Genomic DNA, 21,377 nt, shown 5'->3' with positions numbered 1-21,377 from the left:
GCTTTGGGGCCTTCCCTTTCTCGTCTCTCGCCCACTCCCGCTCTGAGGGGTGGGCTCCATCCAGATTCCCTCAGTACCCAACTCAGGGTTGTCCCTAGGGCATCACCGAGGTGCCCTGAGGCCCCAGCCTGGCAAACTTGGGCAGGAGTCCTCTCTACCTTTCGCCCACCCTGGCCCTCGGCTGGGGGGCTGCCCACAGCTTCTAGGAGTCCAGGGAGGGGGGTGCTGGCCCTCCCCCCACCCAGTGCCAGTAGAGCTCAGTGTCCAGACATGACCTGCATCCCCAAGGGGCCAGGGCCCCGGCGGAGAGGGGAAGGAACCTGCCCGGGCAGCACACCACGCACGCCGGGGATGCCAAGATGCTGTCAACTGCTGGCAGGATGCAGGCACACATGCGGACGTGCAGGCGGGCATCTGCGCTAAGGCACACAGGGTCCTGCGGCATGCGTGTGCACACACTCCTCAGTGCATGCACTCAGTGCACACACTCCTCGGTGCACACACGCCTCCTCAGTGCACACACGCCTCCTCAGTGCACACACTCCTCAGTGCACGCACTCCTCAGTGCACACACTCCTCGGTGCACACACGCCTCCTCAGTGCACACACTCCTCAGTGCACACACTCCTCGGTGCACACACTGCTCAGTGCACACACGCCTCCTCAGTGCACACACTCCTCGGTGCACACACGCCTCAGTGCACACACTCCTCAGTGCACACACGCCTCCTCAGTGCACACACTCCTCAGTGCACGCACTCCTCAGTGCACACACTCCTCGGTGCACACACGCCTCCTCAGTGCACACACTCCTCAGTGCACACATTCCTCGGTGCACACACTGCTCAGTGCACACACTCCTCGGTGCACACACGCCTCAGTGCACACACTCCTCAGTGCACACACGCCTCCTCAGTGCACACACTCCTCGGTGCACACACTCCTTAGTGCACACACGCCTCCTCAGTGCACACACTCCTCAGTGCACACACGCCTCCTCAGTGCACACACTCCTCAGTGCACCCACTTAGTGCACGCACTCCTCAGTGCACCCACTTCTCAGTGCACAAACTCCTTAGTGCACGCACTCCTCGGTGCACACACTCCTCAATGTGCACACTCCTCCTTGGTGCACACACTCCTCAGTGCATACACTCCTTGGTTCCTCAGTGCACACACTTCTCAGTGCACACACTCCTCCTCAGTGCACACACTTCTCCCCAGTGCACACACTCAGTGCACACACTCCTTGGTTCCTCAGTGCACACACTCCTCAGTACACGCACTCCTCGGTGCACACACTCCTCAGTGCACACATTCCTTGGTGCACACACTCCTTAGTGCACACATTCCTCAGTGCACGTACTCCTCAGTGCATACACTCCTCAGTGCACACACTCCTCCTCGGTGCACACACTCCCCAGTGCACACACTCCTCCTCAGTGCACAACTCCTCAGTGCACACACTCCTTAGTGCACACACTCCTCAGTGCACGCAGGCGTGTGCTGATGCCCTCTCTCGCACATGCACACACACCAAGGTGTGATGCCTACCCACCAACACGGGTTGCTGCTGCATTTTACACACACAGCCCCACCTGGCTGGGTGCTCCAGGCCCGGAGCTCCGGACCCGGCAGGGCCCCATGGCTGTTCCCTCCACCACCACCTGAGCCCGCAGCCAGCCCGAGGCCCTGAGAAAGCTTTTTCCTTCCCTGGCAGAAGCACAGGCCACACACGCCCCTGTGTGAGCAGAGAGCAGGGAGCTGGAATTAGTGGCAGGACGAGAGCCCCCGGCCCTCCCTGCCCCCAGCCAGAGGCCCCTGTGCTCTGCGGCTCTGAGGCTTCCTGTTCGCCCTCGGGGGGCTTTGCATGCTCTCAGAGCAGACAGAGGCTGGGAGGCTGGGAGACCCTGAGCTGCCTCAATGGCACAGCCCTGTGCCGCTGGCCCGGAGTCCTGCTCTGCACATGGACGGGAGGCCCTGGGGACCGGCTGCCGGGACAAAGTTTTCTTTGTGTTACTGCGGCTGGCCCCCCTGCCAGAGTGAAGGCGGCTGAATGGGGCCCTGGGAGGCAGCCCCCACCCTCTGCACACCAAAGAGCAGGGCCTGAGACAACAGCCGATAGCACAGCCCCTGTTCCCGGGCCCGCCAGTTGGTGGTTGGCAAGAGGGGGGCGGCGGATGCTGAGCCCCAGAGCCCCTCCCCACTACCCACTCCCCTCCGGCTTCCCAGGCCTTGGGCACCCGCCTGCCTTCCAGGGCCACCTGGCTCTCCCTCCCCACCTCCTGCTCTGGGGGCCAGACCCCACTGTCTGCTGAATCCCTCCCTGCCCAGCCGTGGGTCTCAGGAGGCTAAGTGCCAGAGGAGGGGTCACGCGGGGGCAGGGCCATGACCCCAGGCCACCTCTGACTCCTGCCCCCCTCTTGGGGCTTCCCACAGGATCCTGGTACAGGAGCAGAGTTGGGGTGGGGGCTCCTTCAAGCACAATTCCACTCCCACCAACATTGATGGTGACGCTGGGAGCCTACCCCTTCAGCCCAGCAGACCCCACGGGAGACAAGGGGACAAGGGGAGGGGAGAGGCCACAAGGGAGGGCACGGGAACGGCCCGTCATGCCTGGGAGGCCCTGCACCCCCGTCAGCATGTCCTGAGGCCACCCGGTGAGTCTCTGGGGTCCCCTGGGCTGGACCTAGGGCTCTGGGAAGCCTGAGGTCCTAGGGGAGCCCTTCCTCCTGGGACCTCCCCTGTGGGTCTCCCAGGGCTCCTGCTGGCATCAGCGTGAAGGGGAGGCAGGGAGGGTGCCTCCCTGAAAGGAGGCGATGAAGACGCCCTGAAAGGAGGCGATGAAGACGGGGTGGTGCTGAGGAGCTCCGTGGGTACTGCAACCACAGGGAGAGAGGATCCTACCACGCCCTGGGCTCAGGCACAGGTCCTACCTGGTGCAGGCGGGGACAGAGACTGGGCTTTTCCTCTCAGCCGGGCGACTCCACCGGGCTTCCAGGAATGCTGCCCTGCGGCCTGGCTGGCCGCTAAGCCTTGTGAGCCCCACCCCAACATGAGGGCAGGCCCGGGACACTCCTGGGGGTCTTGTGAGGAGGGCTGGGGGCCTCTGGCTGGGACGGGAAGGGGTGGTGGCCCCCGCTCTTCATCAGGCACTCCCGCCAGGAGGCTGGGCCCAGATTGCCAGTGGCCACGCAAACCTACAGTGGCCAAAGGCAGTGAGGGCCTGGGGACTGGGAGGGGGCTGAGCAGCCCAACAGGCCCAGGGATGGCCCCAGCTGCCCCGCTGCCCACACTGCCCCGGGCGCTCCTGCCCACACTGCCCCGGGCGCTCCTGCCCACACTGCCCTGCTGCCCTCCTGCCCACACTGCCCCAGGTGCTCCTGCCCACACTGCCCTGCTGCCCTCCTGCCCACACTGCCCCAGGCGCTCCTGCCCACACTGCCCTGCTGCCCTCCTGCCCACACTCCCCCAGGTGCTCCTGCCCACACTGCCCTGCTGCCCTCATGCCCACACTGCCCTGCTGCCCTCATGCCCACACTGCCCCAGGCGCTCCTGCCCACACTGCCCTGCTGCCCTCATGCCCACACTCCCCCAGGTGCTCCTGCCCACACTGCCCTGCTGCCCTCATGCCCACACTCCCCCAGGTGCTCCTGCCCACACTGCCCTGCTGCCCTCATGCCCACACTGCCCCAGGCGCTCCTGCCCACACTGCCCTGCTGCCCTCCTGCCCACACTCCCCCAGGTGCTCCTGCCCACACTGCCCTGCTGCCCTCATGCCCACACTGCCCCAGGTGCTCCTGGTGTTCCCCTGGGCACCCATGTGTCCCACACGCTCATGGCCTTCACATCACCTGCTGGGCCGTCTCTGCCCTGGGCCCCCAGCGCAATGGCGGGCCCATCGCTGGCCCATGTGGGCATGTGAGCCCTACTCCGGGCTCTGCAGGCAGTAGCCTGGACTGGCTCGAGGGCCAGGCCATGCACCGCCTGGTGGTCACTGAAGTGTCAGAGACAGGCCTGTGTCCATTTTTTTAGCAGCAGGAAGCTGGGTGGAGAGGGAGGGCAGCTTCTGGGGCCTTCTCCACTGTGCTAGCTGCTGGGTTCAGACTGGAGGTGGCCAATGGGAGCCGCCTTTGCTCCTGCCCATCCCCCCCACCCCACCCAGCCTTGACTTTCCCCTGTCAATGGGGCAGCAGCTGGACCCCGCACTCAGGGGCTTCCCCAGCTCCCACGGCTGCAGTTCTGCTGTGGAGTTTCTGGGCCTGGAGGTGAGGCTAGTGGGTGGGTAACGTAGGACAGAGGAGGTGCCAGGTGACCCAAGGAAGTCCTGGTGGGTGCAGCCCAGCCCAGCCCCCCACATCTGGGGCATTTTGGACCCCAATCTCCTGCCACCTGGGCCCTCCACCCTTCCCTCCCCCTGGGACAGCCTTGCCCTCTGAGCCCCACCCTCCTTGGCTCTAGGCCCCACCCTCCCTGTCTCCTCCGTCTTGTAAAGATGCAGATGGCCTCAGTTTCCCAGTGCAGGGCCCTCCACAGAGTGGCCAGAGGTTCCTCCACAGGCAGACCTTGCTCTTGCTCCCATGTGGGCTGCGGAGGCCCCACTGGCACCAGCCTGGAGACTCGAGGGTGGCCCTGACCTGTCCAGACTCGCCCTGCTCCTAGTGACTCCAGTGCCCCAGCCCCGCAAGGCCTGCCCCACCCAGTGGGGCCCGGCCAGGCACCCCTTCCTCAGGAGTGGGAGGGGCTTTCTCAGGAGCGATGATGGGGGCAGGGGCTGGGGTTTGCTGGCAGAAGGAGGAGCCCCCAGCCTCGGACACAGTGAAGACTGAAACCAGGAGTTTCGGGTGCCAGGCTGGGCTGGGGCCAGGTGGGCAGGTGAGAGCGGCAGGCTGGTTTTTCAGCCCCGCTGGGGGTTAATACTCAAACACACCGACATCCCCTGATGCCAGGCTGGGTGGCCAGAGCCCCTCCCACTGATAACATCCCTCTCCCAAGGCAGGGAGGGCCTGTCCTGCCCAGGGATGCCAGATCGAGCCTTCTGCAGAGGCCTGGGCAGCAGCCTGCCTGCCTCCACTTCCTCAACTGTAACTTGGGGCAATGGCATCCTATCGCCAGGGCTGTGCCCAGTGTGCCCCTGTGCCGAGCGGCGCCCTGTCCACTCCAGTCCCCTCCTCCACCCCAGCTGCTGCCGCCTCCTCCTGGGGGCCCACTGGGACCTGGGGCAGGAGAGGGCACCAGGATGGGCGGCCCCAGAGAGGGGTCTCCCCTCAGCCGCATGGAAATGAGCCAGCCTGGGCTTGGAAGCCCGCTTAATCTTTTGCTGAAAAGATAATTTCTCTCTGTGCCGTTGTCGGGCGCTGGGGGTGAACAAAGGGGCTTTTGTGCAAGCCCGGCTGGTCCCACCCAGCAAGGCCTGGCATTTTCCCTGCGAACGTAAAATGCTGTAACGGGGAGTGTTTCTCATAACCGTCTCCTTTCCTCAAGTACACAATCACTTTTGTTACCCAGGGCCCGCACACGGCAGCCGGGAGGACCTTTCTTTTTCCTTCTCATCCCTTGCAAAATGCCGTGTGCCGAGGGTAGGGTGTGGAAGGAGGGGAGGGACATGGCCCACGCTGGGCCTTGCCACCTGTGCCCACTGGGGCCTCTGGTGCCCAATGTCCTTTGGGTTAAGAATTTCCCTGTTCCCATCCAGCCTTGCAGAAGGGCCAGGGAGCAGGGCGTGTGAATCCTGCACCTACACCCACCTCGACAAGGGCTATTAAACATTCACCAATGGTGACCTTTTATGTGAATGCAAAAGTCCCACACATTCCCTGCAGCACTTTGGAAATGAAAAAAAAAAAAAAAAAAAAACCCAAACAAACAAAAAACACAAAAGCAAAATAGAATGTCACACAAAAAGGAAGATAAAAAATCGCCAGTAATTCCAGCCTGTTGGTATCAGGGGGAGCATCTCCCCAGTGTGTTTTTTCATCTTGTTCACAAAACTGGGGCCAGTCTTCATTGATTCATTCATTCATCCCCTTCATTCAGCCCCCCCAAGCAAGTATCGGGGGCTTAGGGCCTGGCTCTGGGCCCATTCCAGGGGTGCTGTTGAAGGTGAGCTGGCCGAGGTGCTGCCTCACCCTTTGGAATGCCGGGTAGGAATCAGGGAAGCTCACGGGAATGTCATTTAATCATTCTTTGCAAACTGCTTTTTTCATCGAACAATACATCACAAGCGGCTAACAACACATCACGAGCTGCCAACAATACATCACGAGAGGCTAACAAGACATCGCGAACGGACCACTAAACACATTCCTTTAACTTACGTTTCATCGCCACGCTGGATCTTCTCCGAGGCCCTCTCCCATGGTTTACCGAGTGCTGTGAGCATGATTTCGCAGCGTGACTCCTGTGGGCGGGCGCTACCATTGTCCCATTGCACAGATGAGGAGGCTGAGGGTCCTGCCATGCCCACTGGTGAGAACTCATGGTCTGTTTGACTTTGCAGCTGATACTCCCCCCAGCTTCCCCTCGGGGGACCTCTGTCCCTCCACCGAATCGGCCTTATCTGAGAGGCCTTTCCTGCCATCCTCTTTGGGGCCTAATTAGGGGTTACATCAGTGGACTATCACGTCATCATCCACGAGCCCCCCGCGCCTGCAGACGGCTGTGCCAGACTAGGGTGCATTCCTCCAGGGGCTGCTGGGCGAGGGGCTCCTGACTCCCCCTCGCCCTGGCGCACCCTGGCACCCCATTCTCAACTTGCTCCCATAAAGGGTGGCACTCGGTGCTGAATCGCCTCTGCTTCATTCCCACAGCAAGGGCCTCCCAGTGGAGGCTGAAGTCACTTTTGCAGGAGGCAGGCAGCAGAATGCCAGCTCAGAGAGTCACCCTGCCCATCTCTGCTGGCATCCAAACTCCCCGAAATGCCTCTGCAATGCCCCATGAGCAGCAGCTGCTTCTTCTTCTTCTTCTTCTCCTTCTCCTTCTTCCTCTTCCTCCTCCTCCTTCTTCCTCTTCCTCCTCCTCCTCTCCTTCTCTTTCTCCTCCTTCTCCTCCTTTCTCCTCCTCCTCCTCCTTCTTGTTCTTCTTTAAATTGTGGTAAAACAGACGTAACATAAAATTGACCACCTTCACTATTTAAGTGAACAGTTCAGTGGCACTAGGCACATTCGAATTGTGTGACCTTCACCACCCTCCATCTCCAGAACTCTCCATCTTCCCAAAGTGAACTCTGTCCCCATGAAACACTCACTTCCCGTCCCCTCCCCAGCCTGGCACCCACCTTTCTACTTCCTGTCTCTATGAACCTGACAATACTGGGGACCGTCCATGAGTGGAACCATAGGACACGTTCTTTCGTGGCTGACTCATTTCATTTCTCATAATGTCCTCAAGGCTCATCCGGTTTTAGCGTGGGTCAGAATTTCCTTCCTTTTCATGGCTGCGTAGTATTCCACTGCGTAACGGGTGGCATTTTGTTTCTCCATCGCTCGTCCCCGGATGCTCTGCTGCATCCACCTTTGGCTGCTGGGACTGATGCTGCCATGAACATGGGTGTGCAAGTTTGAGTCTGAGTCCCCGCTTTCACTTGGACTGAGTTTGTGCAGGGCCATTCGGTAGGAGCTGTTGACACTTAAAGACGCCCAGGGACGCTGCTGCTGAGGGCTGGCCTTGGAGGGATCATGGTGGGGCCAAGGTGCCAACAGGGAGTCCACAGCATCGTCATCTGCCCCGTGACACTGGGGGCAAGCTCAGTGTCCCTCAGTGGGGCTAGTTAAATCCCAACAAATACCTGTTGAAGTTCCTGTTTTCAATCTTCTTGGGCATAAACTGAAAGTCAGAATTGTGGGATCACGTGGTGATTCTACGTTTAAGTTTTTGGGGAACCGCCAAATGGTTTTCCAGGAGCTGCACGGTTTCACGTTCCCGCACGGTGTCCTGATTTCTCCACCTCTGCACCAACACTTACTTTCTGTTTTTTAAAATAATACTATGATAACGGGTGTAAAGTGGTGTCTCTTGATTTGTATCTCCCTGCTAACTAATGATGGCAAGCATCTTTTCATGGGCTTAGCGGCCACTTGTGTATCTTCTCTGGAGAAATGTCTATTGCAGTCTTTCACCTGTTTTTAATTGGGTTGTTTGGTTTTCTTCTTGTGGAGTTGTGGGAGTTTTTAAAATATATTCTGGATATGAACCTCTTACCCGACATATAACTTCCAAGTGTGTCCTCCCATTCTTGGGTTGCCTTTTCACTCTTGACAGTGTCCTATGATGCAGAGAAGTTTAGTGCAAATTTATTTTTTAATTTTCTTGCCTGTGTTCCTCTAAGCTTCTTTGTCCATCCACAGTTGGGGCCTCATTTCCTCTGGGGGCAGGGTTCAGTGTCATTCATTCAACATCCGAGGTCGGCCATTCATTCAACAAACCCTCCCTGGGGACCCACTGGTTGCCAGCTCTGCACTGGGCTCCAGGATGAGACATCAGGACAGACGGACCCCAGGATGCGACATCAGGACAGACGGACCCCAGGATGCGACGTCAGGACAGACGGACCCCAGGATGCGACGTCAGGACAGACGGACCCCAGGATGCGACGTCAGGACAGACGGACCCCCGGGTGCGACGTCAGGACAGACGGACCCCAGGATGCCATGTCAGGACAGACGGACCCCAGGCTGTGATGGTGGGACAGATGAACCCCTACCTCTACAGGGCTCATGGTCCTGTGGAAGCCAGAGACAAGGGAACAGAAGGTTAAGAGACTGAGAGCCAGGGTATACTGGGGCTGGGGACCAAAGAGAAGAGGCTGTCAGAGACAGTGAGGACAAAGCCAAGGATTCAAGGATGAGGGAGCGAGGCTGGCTGGAGCCTGGGATTCTCCAGAGGCAGGTGCGGCTGGGGTCTTCACTGGGGTTTTCCAGAGGCAGCCCTGGGACCGCAGCTCATGGGGAGGGGCAGGAGGAGTGGGGACGGGATCGATGAGAGAGGAGGAGAAGGTGGCCGCTAAAGGGTGCCATACGCTCCCCTGCAACCCAAACCGGGGGCTGGAGCCTCACCCCATGGGCCTCAGTGGTGGAGGTGGAGCTGGGACTGTCTACGCTGCCAAGCACTCCATGTGTTCCCTCCCATGGTCCCACCCCCATCCTTCTCCCAAGAAGCCTCGCTACAGATGGGGTAGCCAGGCAGGCAAGGTGAGCTGGCCCAGCAGCTCTGAGGCTGGCTCGGGCCTGTCGCTGGTTAAGGGCTGCCCAGGGTCACCCACACCCAGCACACTCTTGCCTGGACTCATGACTTAGTGACAGACGCTGGCAGCCCGGACACGGTCATTCCAGCGACGGATGCGGGTGGCTCTGACAGGGTCATTCCAGGACCCAAGGTCAGATGCTCTCCGTGTCTGGGGGCTGCTGTAACGAAGGGCCACAGATTGGGGGGCATAAAGCACCCAAAATGTGCTCTCCCCGCTCTGGAGGCCAGAAGTCAGAGACCCGGGTGTCCCAGGGCCACGCTCCCTCCAGAGGCTCCAGGGGAGGGTCCTTTCTGCCTCCTCCAGCTTCTGATGCTGCAGGCATTCCTGGCTTGTGGGCGCCTGGCTCCAGTCTCTGCCTCCGTTTTTATGTGGCTTCTCCCCTGTGTCTCTGCGTCCTCTCCTCTTCTTATAAAGACACCAGTCCTTTGGTTAAAGGCTCACCCTACATGCAGGACAGTCTCATCTCGAGATCTTTAATTCCATTTTCCAAACCTCTATTTCCTGGTAAGGTCACATTCTGAGGCTCTGGAGGGGGCCTCTCTGCTAGCAGACGCCATGAACTTGCCCTGGAATCCTGGAGGCCCCCTAGGCTGCAGCTGTCTGGGGGGCTCCAAGTGTCTGGATCTGCATGGACGCCTCCAGTGGCTCGGGGTCTTGACACCACTGTCTGAGCTTGATGCAGGGCCCTCTGTTGTTCTGGGCCCCACTCGAAAGTGATCGTCTTCTGGGTCATCTAACAAATGGGCAGAGCATTGCCGAAGCTGCCTGTTGAACCCAAAGAGACAGCCAAGCATTGCACTGCTTCCTTGGTGTAGGTGTGAGGAGCAATCACTCGTTCTTTGTTACAGATGCGGTCTCACTCTGCCGCCCAGAATGCATGCAATGGTGTGACCACAGCTCACTGTAGCCTCTACCTCCTGGGCCCAAGGGATCCTCCTGCCTCAGCCTCCCAAGCAGCTGGGACCACAGGCAGGAGATGGGTCTGAGTGTGTTGCCCAGGCTGAATAACTTGTTCTTTATGTGGAGGAGACCACCTGTCTCCTTGCAGTCTCCAAGGGTGCATTAGTCCCTGCCATCACATCCCAGACCACTGAACCCCTGAAAGCGGATATGGTAGCCCCAGAATCTCGGTGGGTTTACCGTCTGTCCTCTGGCACACAAGCACAAAGCATCAGAATGCGACTCCTGCTTCCCCAGAAGATTAACTCCATAGCCTTTGTGCATTGAGCTCTCACGATGTTCCAAGAAACGTCTGGATGGCCTGCGAGTCTCAGGGCTGTGTGGAGAGCAGGAACATAGTCACCGCCCTGGGCGGGGTCGTGCACGTGCACTACTGTCCTTCCCATGCCCGTGCAGACTGCTTATGATGCTCCTTCCACCCCAACAGGGACTGGGATCCGTGCGGTCTCCAGACTTGCCTCCAGGGAGCCCCAGGCCGGGTGCTCGAGCTTGTGTTGGCCTGTTCCCCAGTCCAGACATCACCTCTGGCAGAGTGGCTGTGGCCAGGACTCCCAGCTTGTTAGGTTGACCGTCACCCACCTGCCATGGTCTGTCTGACCTCCGCAGGGGCCGGACTGCTGAACTCGATGAGAATAGGTTGGGACCACTGTGTGTGTATTTGTCAAGGCTTTCTGGGTGGCACGAATCCATGCCATCTCAGAAGGCATCTGCTTTGGGTTTCCCATCTTGGTGTGTACGCATGGGGAGTCATGGTTTTGGGAGTTTCAACTTGGTTTTTTCAGCCATCCAGGCTCTTACGCCGCAGAAGGAAGTGACAGAAGGGCTTTGCCAGCTGCCACATCCAGCCCTTCCTCCAACCACACACTCAGGCCAAGGGGAGTGGCCACAGAGTGGCCCAGGGACCTAGGGGCCCACTGGATGGAGCTGGCCCAGGGCCCCATTTATCACCCAGTGTCCATCCTTTCCCGCCTTAACAGGGGCCATGCCATGAGGTCACTGTGGTCTCCTGATACTGGCGTCAGCCAGGCTGGACATCAGACAGCACTGATGGAGTGGGTGGGCCCTTTCTCCAGCGCCCAGTTCCTCTAGTAAATGGCCAGTGGTCCCTCTGGGGATGCAGTGGGGGAACTGTGCATGTGTGCTTTTGTGTTGTAGGGTCCTTCCTCAAGGGCACCTGGCCGCCCCTCCAGTTGCGGGCTCTGGATCTGAGAGCCGGCCACGTCTAGAACACTGTGAAGGATTTTTCTCTCGCTGCAGCTGACGGCAGCTTTCCTGACGCCTTCCACTAAGGGGTGTCCTCGGGACTCTATGGGGAGGCAGAGATGATGGAGGAGGAGCAGGCACTTCTGGGAGGTCATCCTCTCAAACAGACACACCCAGGTGGCCCAGGCCAGCACTCAGGCCCACTCCTTCTCGGTCAGAGCCCTGATCCCAGCCTGGGAGACTTCCAGGAGCCTCCTCTGCAATTCCCTTACTGCAATGCCCTTACTGTGTCCCATGGCCAGAGGAGAGGTCAGCTGAAACCAGCCGGGCCCCAACTGTGACACTGGCCAGTAGCCACGGCTCCCACGTCCTCATGGTCACTGTGGCCTCCATAACTCCTGAATGCTGGAGAACCGCGTGGCAGGGGCCTCCGGCTCCCACGGCCCTTCCCAGTCGCCATGGCAGAGGTCCAACACTGCACTGCACCCCAGGGCTGTCACCCTCCACTGCCCCAGCAGTGGGGCTCCTTCAGCCATCCCGAGCCCCCTCCCAGAGTCCCTTCTGGCCCCAGCTGACTTAGTGTGGCTCTTGGAAGCACCCCTGAGGACCAGGGTGCATATTGATGCCATCTATTTGGGAAGGCAGGCGGCACAGGATGGGGGTGGATGGAGGACGGGAGGTAACCAGCAGGTGTGCTGCCGGCTCCCAGCGTGGGTCAGGGCTCTGTCCCCCGGGTTGGGAAATGGTGCAGAACTTGGAGCAGCCTCGCAGGGCCCCTGGCTGCCCCAGATGGTGCCAACTCTGGCCCGAGAACCAAGTGGGTGAGGGCACAGGTATCACCAGCAGATGACACCTTGATGGAGATGGCAGAGGTCCAAGGGGACACAGTAGGGGGCATCGCACTGTGGAGGGGGGCACCGCACTGTGGAGGGGGGCATCGCGTGGTGGGGGGAGCACTGAACAGTGTGGGGGGATCACACTGGATGAGAGGGCATCGCGTGGTGGCGGGAGCACTGAACAGTGTGGGGGGATCACAGTGGATGAGAGGGCATCGCATGGTGGGTGTGTCACATGGCGGGGGGGACATCGCACGGTGGGGGCATCCACAGATTTCCTCCGCTCTTTGAGCCGCTGCTGTTTCTGTAGTGTCTCAACCTCTCGGGCTCAGTGCACTCACTCACTGTCCCCACTTGACAGAGAAGGACCCAGCACCTCGCTCCCACCAGGCCTTGCGGAGCCCACACACCCCGGGAGCTGACCACGGCCTCACCCCTTCCTTGCCTCTGATAGACTCAGGCCCCTGCCAGGTCCGGTCCTCAGACCGTGCCTCCTCCACTGCCCTCTCAGGGAGGCCTCGTCAGGTCCCACCTGCACCCCCCTACCAGGTCTAGGGTCAGCCACTTTCCCATACGCCTCTCAGACTGGACACATCCCAAACCAGACCCCCTCCCCACCACCCCTGCCTCTTCCGCTCACACTGCCTCAGCAAACGGCACCCTACCCACGTGGCATGTCCAGGCCAGGACCCCTGTTCCCACACCTCTCTCCTCCTTCAACCCCCACGCCCAACCCACAGCTGCAGTTTCTAAGGTGCAGGCAGCATCCCCTGCTCAGAGCTGCCCTGGGACTTCCCACTGTCATCACATCAAGATGCAAAATGCCTCCCAGCAGCTGGGCTCCCTCGGGATGGGCCCCACCATCCAGTGGCCTCCACTTCCCCTGTCTGTTTTGGAGGCCCGGGAGCCTGCCTGCCACAAGGCCTTGTATACGCTTTTGCTGGGGATGCCCAGGCCCCCTTCCTGTCCCTCAAGGCCCCAGAGGCCTTTCCAGACCATCCGGGGCACACACGACTTCTCCCAGCGTGGCTCTCTCCCCTCCATGGCTTTGATGGGGGCTGCGAGGGTGGGAGCGTCCTCTCTAGCCTGTGGTGCGCTCCTGGGGGCAGACTCTCATCGGCCCGGCCTCTGCAAGCCACACACAGCAGGGCCTCTAGGAACAGACGGGTGAGTGGGTGGGTGAGGACAGGCCCCAGGTTCACCCTGCTCTCAGTGGCTCTGGGTCACCTGCCATGACCCAGGCTGAGCTGAACCTTCCAAACATCTCCCTGTCTCCGGAAGCCCAAGTACCTCTGCCCACCTCAGGGTCCCCTTCCTGCCCTGCCCCTCTGGGTTTGAGGGGTCCTTGGGGGACAGTGCAGACCAGTGGGAGAGGAAATCCTTGTATTTTTCAGGGTGAATGGAAACAAAGCTCCTTGTTTATTTCCTGGTGAATGGGGGTGGGGGGGGGGCGGAGTCAGGGTTAACCCTTTCTTCCCTGGGTTTAATTGTCCCCTTTCCGGCCTGGGCTCCTCCGCTGCTCCCATCGCCCCAGAAGCTTTCCTGAGACTGACTCCAGCGGGGAGGGGGAGTGAACAAAAACACACAACAAAAGCAAAGCCGCAGCCGGAAAGAAGCCCCGGTGGGAGAAGTCTGAGAAGCAGGAAACTGCCTCCCCCGCCCCCATGGGGGTGTGCAACCTGGGACCTGGGGGGCGCACACCTGCTCAGGAGCCAGGGTCTGGCTGAGCGGCCCCTGCAGCTGGGAGGAGCCACTATTAACCCGCAGGCAGCCTTGGGGGTCCTTGTCTTGGGGGTGTCTGAGGCGGTTTTTCCCATGACCTCACCCGGAAGGGCTGAGCCGCGCGGGAGGCCTGATCCTGAGCAGGCTCCTGGAGCTGAGTACCCCCCGCCCCCGCCCCCGCCTCCCCCGCAACTGGCCCAGCACCCCCCTTGCAGCCAGGGCTGGGTTGGGGTTGGGAGTTAACCCTGCTGAGGCTGGAGATGCTGCACCAGGCCCCCGCCTTGGTGCCCACCTGCTGGGCAGTGGGCCAGCCTGGCTTTTGGGCTGACACCCTGAGACCCTGCTCCCGGGCTTCGGAGCCCAGTCTGACTCCAGGCCTGCACGGTGTCCTCCGCAGCCCTCGCTGCTGTAGGATGGATGAACCCACACAGCCGGGAGTGGGCCCGAGGGGTGAGGCCACCCCTACCACACTGGGCAGCGACCTCCGAGCCTGAGCTCCTGGAGTCCTCCCCACAGCTCATGAGGCAGGTACCGTCAGGGCCCATTTCAGAGAGGAGGGAACTGAGGCTGGGGTGAGATGACGGCAGGGGGCCCAGGAGCAAGGGCAGGCCCTCGCCCTGTGCTGCCTGGAGGCTGGGGTGGAGGCTCGGCAGCCCACAGCCCCCTCCTCCAGCAGAGCCGTGTCTGAGGGAGGCGCCCGGCCTCCGGAGTGGCTGTGACCCAGTCACCTCTCCTCCCTGGTCTCCAGCACCCCCCACCACACTGGCGGGGGCTGCACTGGGAACGCAACCATCCGGCTAGTGCTGGTTCTCACAGCCCCGCCGGAGACTCCCACACTGTCCGCAGCTGCTCTTCTGGCTCCTGCCGGCCCCGCCCCCGGCTTTGCTGGAAACGCCAACCAGATGTTGGGACTGTTGCCCGTGGGGAGGGGGGTGCGGGAGGAAGTGAGGAAGAAGAGGAAGCTGCAGAGCCCAGCGCAGACGGGATCGGGGCTATGGACACATGAGCTTGGATGGGGAGACTGAGGAGGGCCCGGGGCCGACCCACCCAGATGGGCAGCACAAGCCCCTTTTGGGTCCCAGCTTGGCTTCGGCCCAGTGCTGCACCCTCAGGTCCCGCTCGGCCTCCCTGGCTGCCTCATCACAGCACCCTGGCGATGGCTGGAGGCTCAGCCCCGCAGGCCTTGCTCAACCCATCGTCACTGTGGAGGGTTTCTGGAGGGCCAGCTTCTGCCAGGCACCGCCACTCACCAGAGCCACGCCCTCCGGGAGGCTCACCTGGGCCACAGACCCCGATGGCGTCCCCACCCTCTTGCCCTGCACACACAGAGGCACACACACGTGTGGATACATGTGTGCATACATGTGTACACTTGTTCCCACATATGCACATGCTCACACAGTGTGCATACACAGGCACACACATACACAAACTCACACAAGCATACACGTGCAATCTACACCATTGAGGTCATGCACAGATATGTTCACACACTGGCATACACGTATGTGAGTGCACACACATGCAAACAAGCACTCACGAGCACACACGCGCATGCACACGGGAGCACCCGTGTGTGGACACTCACGTGAGCAAGCACACACACGTACACACTCTCACACATGCACACACACGCACCCCTCACATGTAGAGGCACACACATGCACCCCTCTACACACACGGGCACACACTTGCACACCTGCGTGTGGACTCAGGTGAGCAAGCACTGGTGCACACGCACACGTTCTCACACGTGCACACCTGAATGTCATTCTCCCCGGGAACCCCACGCCGGCTTTGTGGGTGTGACAGTGGCCCCTGGCGCCCCTTCTGTGCGTCTCCCCACCCCCTGTCCTTTTCCTAGCCCACTTTGCCTGGGTGAGTGTTCAGAGGAGAATTTGCCACAGGCTGTAGCTGAGGAGGCAGAGCCCGAGAGAAGACCATGATGTAGTGTGGTACAGGCCTGGCCCCTGAAGCCTGCGGCTGCCACAGCCATCCTCAGGCCCTGTGTGGAGGGAGGCAGCAGCTGTCCCCTGGGATGTAGAGGGACACCCTTGCTCTCCAAGCAGACCAGGGACCTGTGCCCTGCCGAGCCTGCTCCCCACACAGAGGGACTGGGCATCCGCCACCCTGGGGACCTTGGGGACTTGTCTGGCCTCCCGCCATCTGGAAGAGCCTTTGCTCCCCACCTCATCCCCCTGGCCTAGGTGGGGAGTCTTGCAAACAGGGCCCTGGGGGCTCATGACCCTGCCCGCTGCATCCCGGGATGACCCTGCCTGATGCGTCCCAGGATGACCCTGCCCGCTGCGTCCCGGGATGAACGGCTGTGGGTATCTCCTGCAGGCGCATGCAGGTGTTGTGTGTCAGTGAGGGATGGGGATGGGTGTGGGGCCGGTCTCCCTCTTTATGCTTCAGCAGGTAGGTAGGGTGCAGGTGGGGCCTGGCCCCTCTCTATGGCCTCCAGAGCTGCTGGCTCTGTGGGCCGCCACCCTAGCCGCTCCCTGCAGCCAAAGCATCTTTGGGAAGCCCAGCTCCAGCCACCCTCTGCCCTCCCCTTGACTGCAGGGCTCAGTTCCTGCAGCCCCGCCTGGAAGAGCCTGCCCCCTGCCCTCGCCCTCCAGCCACCCCAGGGTTCTGGTCTGTTTGTCTGGGGCACCTCGCTGTCCCCTCTGGTGGCTTACGTGACCCCATCCATCCTACTGGCCTTGGCTGGAACCCTGGGGGGCCCTCGCCACGGCAGGGGTAGGTGCCTCATCCTCGCTGGGTGAGCCCCTCCCATGCAGGGTCTTGGGGGAGGGAGGGCACTGCTACACCCCGACAGAGCCTGACTCTCAAGAGGCTCAGCAGATCTTCGAGCAGAGAATGAATGAAGAAATCAATCCATGCTGAGCTGAGAGAGCGCCAGTAGCCGGGAAAGGGATGCAGGGCCCAGGTGGAAAACTGCCCAGCAAGCTCCCTGCTCCTCCCCACGGCTCCTCCCAGAGAGGCCTTCCCTGCCCACGTGCTCACCCTGGGCTGCCCGTCTCCACCCACTGGCCCCATCTCCCTGTCCCGCTCAGAGATTTGGAGGTGTTGGCCCAAAGTCCTATGGGGATCTGCCTCAAACCTTTAACTGCTGGGGCGGGGGCCATGCTGTTGCCTCATTCAGACACTTCTGTTTGCTGGTCCCTGGATGACAGCTTCAGGGGGCAGCCAGCACTGACGGAGGGAGGAGCAGAGGCAACCGACACGTGAGAGTCAGGTGCCCAGAGCCCAGGCCTCACCCTGCGCTGGCTGTGTGATCTTATACAGGTTGCTTGCCGTCTCTGGGCCTGCCTGATTTCCCTCCTGTGAACGAGGTTGTGGCACGGGGCAGGGTGACTGCAACTCCCTGGTCGCTCCTGCTGCCCTTGACCTCGTGACCCGAGCGTGCCGGCTGCCTTGCGAGCAGCTTACCCGTGGGAAGCGGAGGGCGAGGTGGAAGGAAGGCCGGCTCCAGCCTGCCCGGGGAGGGTGGCTGCAGCGCCGGCCCCTGGGAGCTCCTCATTGTGACAGGACCTTAGGGGAAGAGGAGAGGAAGTGGGAGGGCCTCAGACCCCCAGCAGTGGGGTAGAGAGAGATGGGGCCAAGGCCAGCCTCCCCCAGCTGTCAAGGATACCCTGGGAGGCTGGCAACCCCTGGCTGAGCCGGGCCCCACGGGGATGTGGGTGCCTGATGGGACGGTGGCTGTGTGTGTGTGACAGTGGGTGCTGTGGTCCCATGGAGCAGGGGACACGGCCGTCTCGGTGCAGGGGGCTCCTGCTGGGAGCCCTGACTAGCCTGGGAGGGTCCCAGGAACTTGGCGGGCCCCAAGGAAGCCCCTGGCCACGCTGTGGGGGTGGGAGTCCTGAGGCCATCGGGCCTTGGTCCTTCACCCTGCTTTTGTCACTTTCCCTTGAAAGCCTGTCCTCCAGTTCCCGTAACGAAGTACCACAGACTGGGTGGCTTAAAGCAGAAATGCATCCCCTCCCGTTTCTGGAGGCCAACAGCCTAGGACGCAGGTGTCAGGAGGGCTGCGCTCCCTCGGGAGGCCCTTCCCGCCCTTCCCGCCCCTCCCAGCTCCGGTGGCCAGTACGGCCTCTGCCTCCCTCACTCCAGCGTCCCTGGCCTCTGTGCCTTTCCCGCTGGCATGAGGACGCTTGACACTGTGTTTAGAACCCACCCGAGGCCAGGGAGGTCTCACCCCGAGATCCCAACCTTAATTCCATCTGCAAAGAGTAAGTTCACACTCTGAGGTTCCGGGTGGATGCATCCTGGGGGGCCACATTTCAACCCACTCCCAATGCCAGGGCCCTCAGCCGGGGCTGCCCCTCTGCCCCGGCACTGCCCCTGCCTCCCCAGGGGTTGCATCCAGCCCCCAGTGGCCTCAAGTCAGTTTCCCGGGGAAGCTGTGGGGAAAGTGCACCTGCAGAGGGGACACCCTGGGCAAAGGCCAGGGGGCAGGGCTGGGTATTCAGGGTCCTGGCTGTGCACCTGCTCCACTCTGCACGGGTGGCCTTCCTTGCCATGGATGTGAAGGCTCCAGGCCTCAAAGGCAGGGGCTGGGCAATGGGCGGCACTGGCCACAGGCAGGGCCCAACCCAGGCCGGGCATAGAAAGGAGACACCGCCTGTGGACCTGAGGGCCTGGGAAGCCTATGGAGGGAGCGTCCCCAGCCCCTGAGGCACAACCAGGGCCAGGCTAGGGTTTCTCGAGCTGGTGCCTGCACTGGGCCCGGGCCTCCCCAGCCTGGGCCAGCCCGGGCCAGCCCATGGCCCAGCTCCCAGGGTGCTGCAGAAATGTCCTTTTGTTGGCTGAACAAAGCAGCTTTGAGCTGGGCCCTTATCTCAGGCCACACTGAGATGGGCTGGAGCCGGCTAGCCAGCCTGGAGGGGTGCCCCCAAGCAAGGAGAGGCAGAGAGAGGCTCTCCAGGGATGCAGCAGGCCCATCAGATAAGGCCCTAGGCAGGCACAATGGGCATGGGTAGGCACAGGTGAGTACAGGTGGGCACAGGCAGACACAGGTTGGCACAGTTGGGCACAGGCAGGCACAGGTGGATGCAGACACACTCCATCTCTGCCCCACCCTGCCAAGCACTGTCTTGGCTATCGAAGGCCCCAGGTGGCTCAGCGTGGCTGGGAACCCAAGGAGGCATAGGTGGGCTTCCCTGAGCTGGGCCAGGATAGTGGGGGGTGGCCCTCCCTCAGTGACAGGTGCCCAGTGGGTCAGGGGCAGCTCATGCTTGGCCCATCCCTGGGTCTCTCTGGAGACGAAGCACCTGACTCCAGGCACCTTAAGGGCAAGGCCAGGAAGGTGTGGCTGGCAGTGTCCCCTTTGCCCACCTATGTCTCAGGGAGCTGAGAGGCCTCAGAAACACACGCTGCCCTGTCCTGCTGTCCCAGGACCCGTTTCAGGCTTCCACGGTGCATGGTGCCTACCAGGAGAGACTCAAGTGCAGAAGAACAGCCACAGGGGCCAGTGGGCCACACGGCAGGCCTGGCCCCACCTGTGACACGGGTGGCAACCTTCCCCAGGAACATCCAGTGCCTCCTGCCTGCAACAGCCCACAGGGCACTGGATACAGAGGCGGTCAGTTGGTTCCTATGCCATGAGGCTCCCTCCTTCCTCCCTTTTTCCTGTCTCCCTACCTCCCTTATCTCTGTGTCTGGTGTACAGCTGGGCTCAGACAACATCTGTTGAATAAATGGATGGACGAATGAGTGAATGAATGAGTGAGCAAATGAGTGAGTGACTGAATGAGTAAGTGAATGGGTGAGTGATTCAGTGAGTAAATGAGCAAGTGAGTGAGTGAATGAGTGAGTGGGTGAGTGAGCAACTGAATAAGTGAGAGTGAATGAGTGAGTGTATGAGTGAATGAGTTTGTGAATGAGTGGGTGAGTTAGTGAATGAATGAGTGAGCAAATGAATGAATGAGTGAGTGAATGAGTGAGTGACTGACTGAGAGTCAATGAGCGAGTGAATGAGTGATTGAGTGAATGAGTGGGTGAGTGAGTGGGTGAGTGTGTGGGTGAGTGAGTGACTGAAGGAGTGAGCAAATGAATGAGTGAGTGAATGAAAGAGTGAATGAGTGAGTGAATGAGTGAATGAGTGAATAAGTGAGTGAGTGACTGAATGACTGAGTGAGTGAGTGAAGGACTGAATGAGTGAGTGAGTAAATGAGTGAGTGAGTGAATGAGCGAGTGAATGAGTGAGTGAGTGAATGAGCGAGTGAATGAGTGAGTGAGTGAATGAGTGAGTGAGCGAATGAGTGAGTGAATGAGTGAGTGAATGAATGCGTGAATGAGTGAGTGATTGAAGAGTGAGAGAGTGGGTGAGTGAGGGAGTGAATGAGCAAGGGAGTGAGTGAGTGAGTGAATGAGTAAGTTAGCGAGTGAGTGAGGGAGCGAGGGAGTGAATGAGCGAGGGAGTGAGTGAGTGAACGAGTAAGTGAGCGAGTGAGTGAGCAAGTGAATGAGTAAGTGAGCGAGTGAGTGAGTAAGCGAGTGAATGAGTGAGTGAATGAGTGAGTGAATGAGTGAGTGAATGAGTGAGTGAGTGAGTGAATGAGTGAATGAATGAGGGAATGAGTGAGTGAATGAGTGAGTGAGTGAGTGAATGAGTGAGTGAGTGAGTGAGTGAATGGGTGAGTGAGGGAATGAGTGAGTGAGTGAATGAGTGAGTGAATGAGTGAGTGAATGAGTGGGTGAGTGAATGAGTGAGTGAATGAGTGAGTGAGTGAACAAGTGAATGAGTGAATGAGTGAGTGAGTGAACGAGTGAGTGAGTGAGTGAACGAGTGAATGAGTGAGTGAATGAGTGAGTGAATGAATGAGGGAATGAGTGAATGAATGAGTGAGTGAGCAAATGAGTGAGTGAGTGAATGAGCAAATGAGTGAGTGAGTGAACGAGCGAATGAGTGAGTGAGGGAATGAGTGAGTGAGGGAATGAGTGAGTGAGTGAATGAGTGAGTGAATGAGTGAGTGAGTGAATGAGTGAGTGAATGAGTGAGTGAGTGAATGAGTGAGTGAGTGAGCAAATGAGTGAGTGAGTGAACGAGCAAATGAGTGAGTGAGTGAACGAGCGAATGAGTGAGTGAGTGAGTGAATGAGTGAGTGAGGGAATGAGTGAATGAATGAGGGAATGAGTGAATGAGTGAGTGAGTGAATGAGTGAGCGAATAAGTGAGTGAGTGAACGAGTGAGTGAGGGAATGAGTGAGTGAGTGAACGAGTGAGTGAGTGAGTGAATGAGGGAATGAGTGAATGAGTGAGTGAGTGAATGAGTGAGCAAATAAGTGAGTGAGTGAACGAGTGAGTGAGGGAATGAGTGAGTGAGTGAACGAGTGAGTGAGTGAGTGAATGAGTGAGTGAACGAGTGAGTGAGTGAATGAGTGAGTGAACGAGTGAGTGAGTGAATG

At 60.0% G+C, this 21,377-nt stretch overlaps 4 annotated features.

Moving 5' to 3' along the window:
* Window positions 53-904: an enhancer, noted in NCBI's record as "H3K4me1 hESC enhancer chr9:139495673-139496524 (GRCh37/hg19 assembly coordinates)". NCBI's record gives its function as "activates a minimal SCP1, AML or CMV promoter by ChIP-STARR-seq in primed H9 embryonic stem cells {active_cell/tissue: H9 hESC(primed)}" and the evidence as "EXISTENCE:reporter gene assay evidence [ECO:0000049][PMID:30033119]".
* Window positions 1,147-1,678: an enhancer, noted in NCBI's record as "H3K4me1 hESC enhancer chr9:139494899-139495430 (GRCh37/hg19 assembly coordinates)". NCBI's record gives its function as "activates a minimal SCP1, AML or CMV promoter by ChIP-STARR-seq in naive H9 embryonic stem cells {active_cell/tissue: H9 hESC(naive)}" and the evidence as "EXISTENCE:reporter gene assay evidence [ECO:0000049][PMID:30033119]".
* Window positions 2,747-3,280: an enhancer, noted in NCBI's record as "H3K27ac-H3K4me1 hESC enhancer chr9:139493297-139493830 (GRCh37/hg19 assembly coordinates)". NCBI's record gives its function as "activates a minimal SCP1, AML or CMV promoter by ChIP-STARR-seq in primed H9 embryonic stem cells {active_cell/tissue: H9 hESC(primed)}" and the evidence as "EXISTENCE:reporter gene assay evidence [ECO:0000049][PMID:30033119]".
* Window positions 16,551-17,202: an enhancer, noted in NCBI's record as "H3K27ac-H3K4me1 hESC enhancer chr9:139479375-139480026 (GRCh37/hg19 assembly coordinates)". NCBI's record gives its function as "activates a minimal SCP1, AML or CMV promoter by ChIP-STARR-seq in naive H9 embryonic stem cells {active_cell/tissue: H9 hESC(naive)}" and the evidence as "EXISTENCE:reporter gene assay evidence [ECO:0000049][PMID:30033119]".

Source organism: Homo sapiens, chromosome 9 (assembly GCF_000001405.40).
Source record: "Homo sapiens chromosome 9, GRCh38.p14 Primary Assembly".
NCBI lineage: Eukaryota > Metazoa > Chordata > Mammalia > Primates > Hominidae > Homo > Homo sapiens.
Note: the sequence above shows the minus strand (reverse complement) of the source record. Positions and strands in the feature narration are given on the sequence as shown.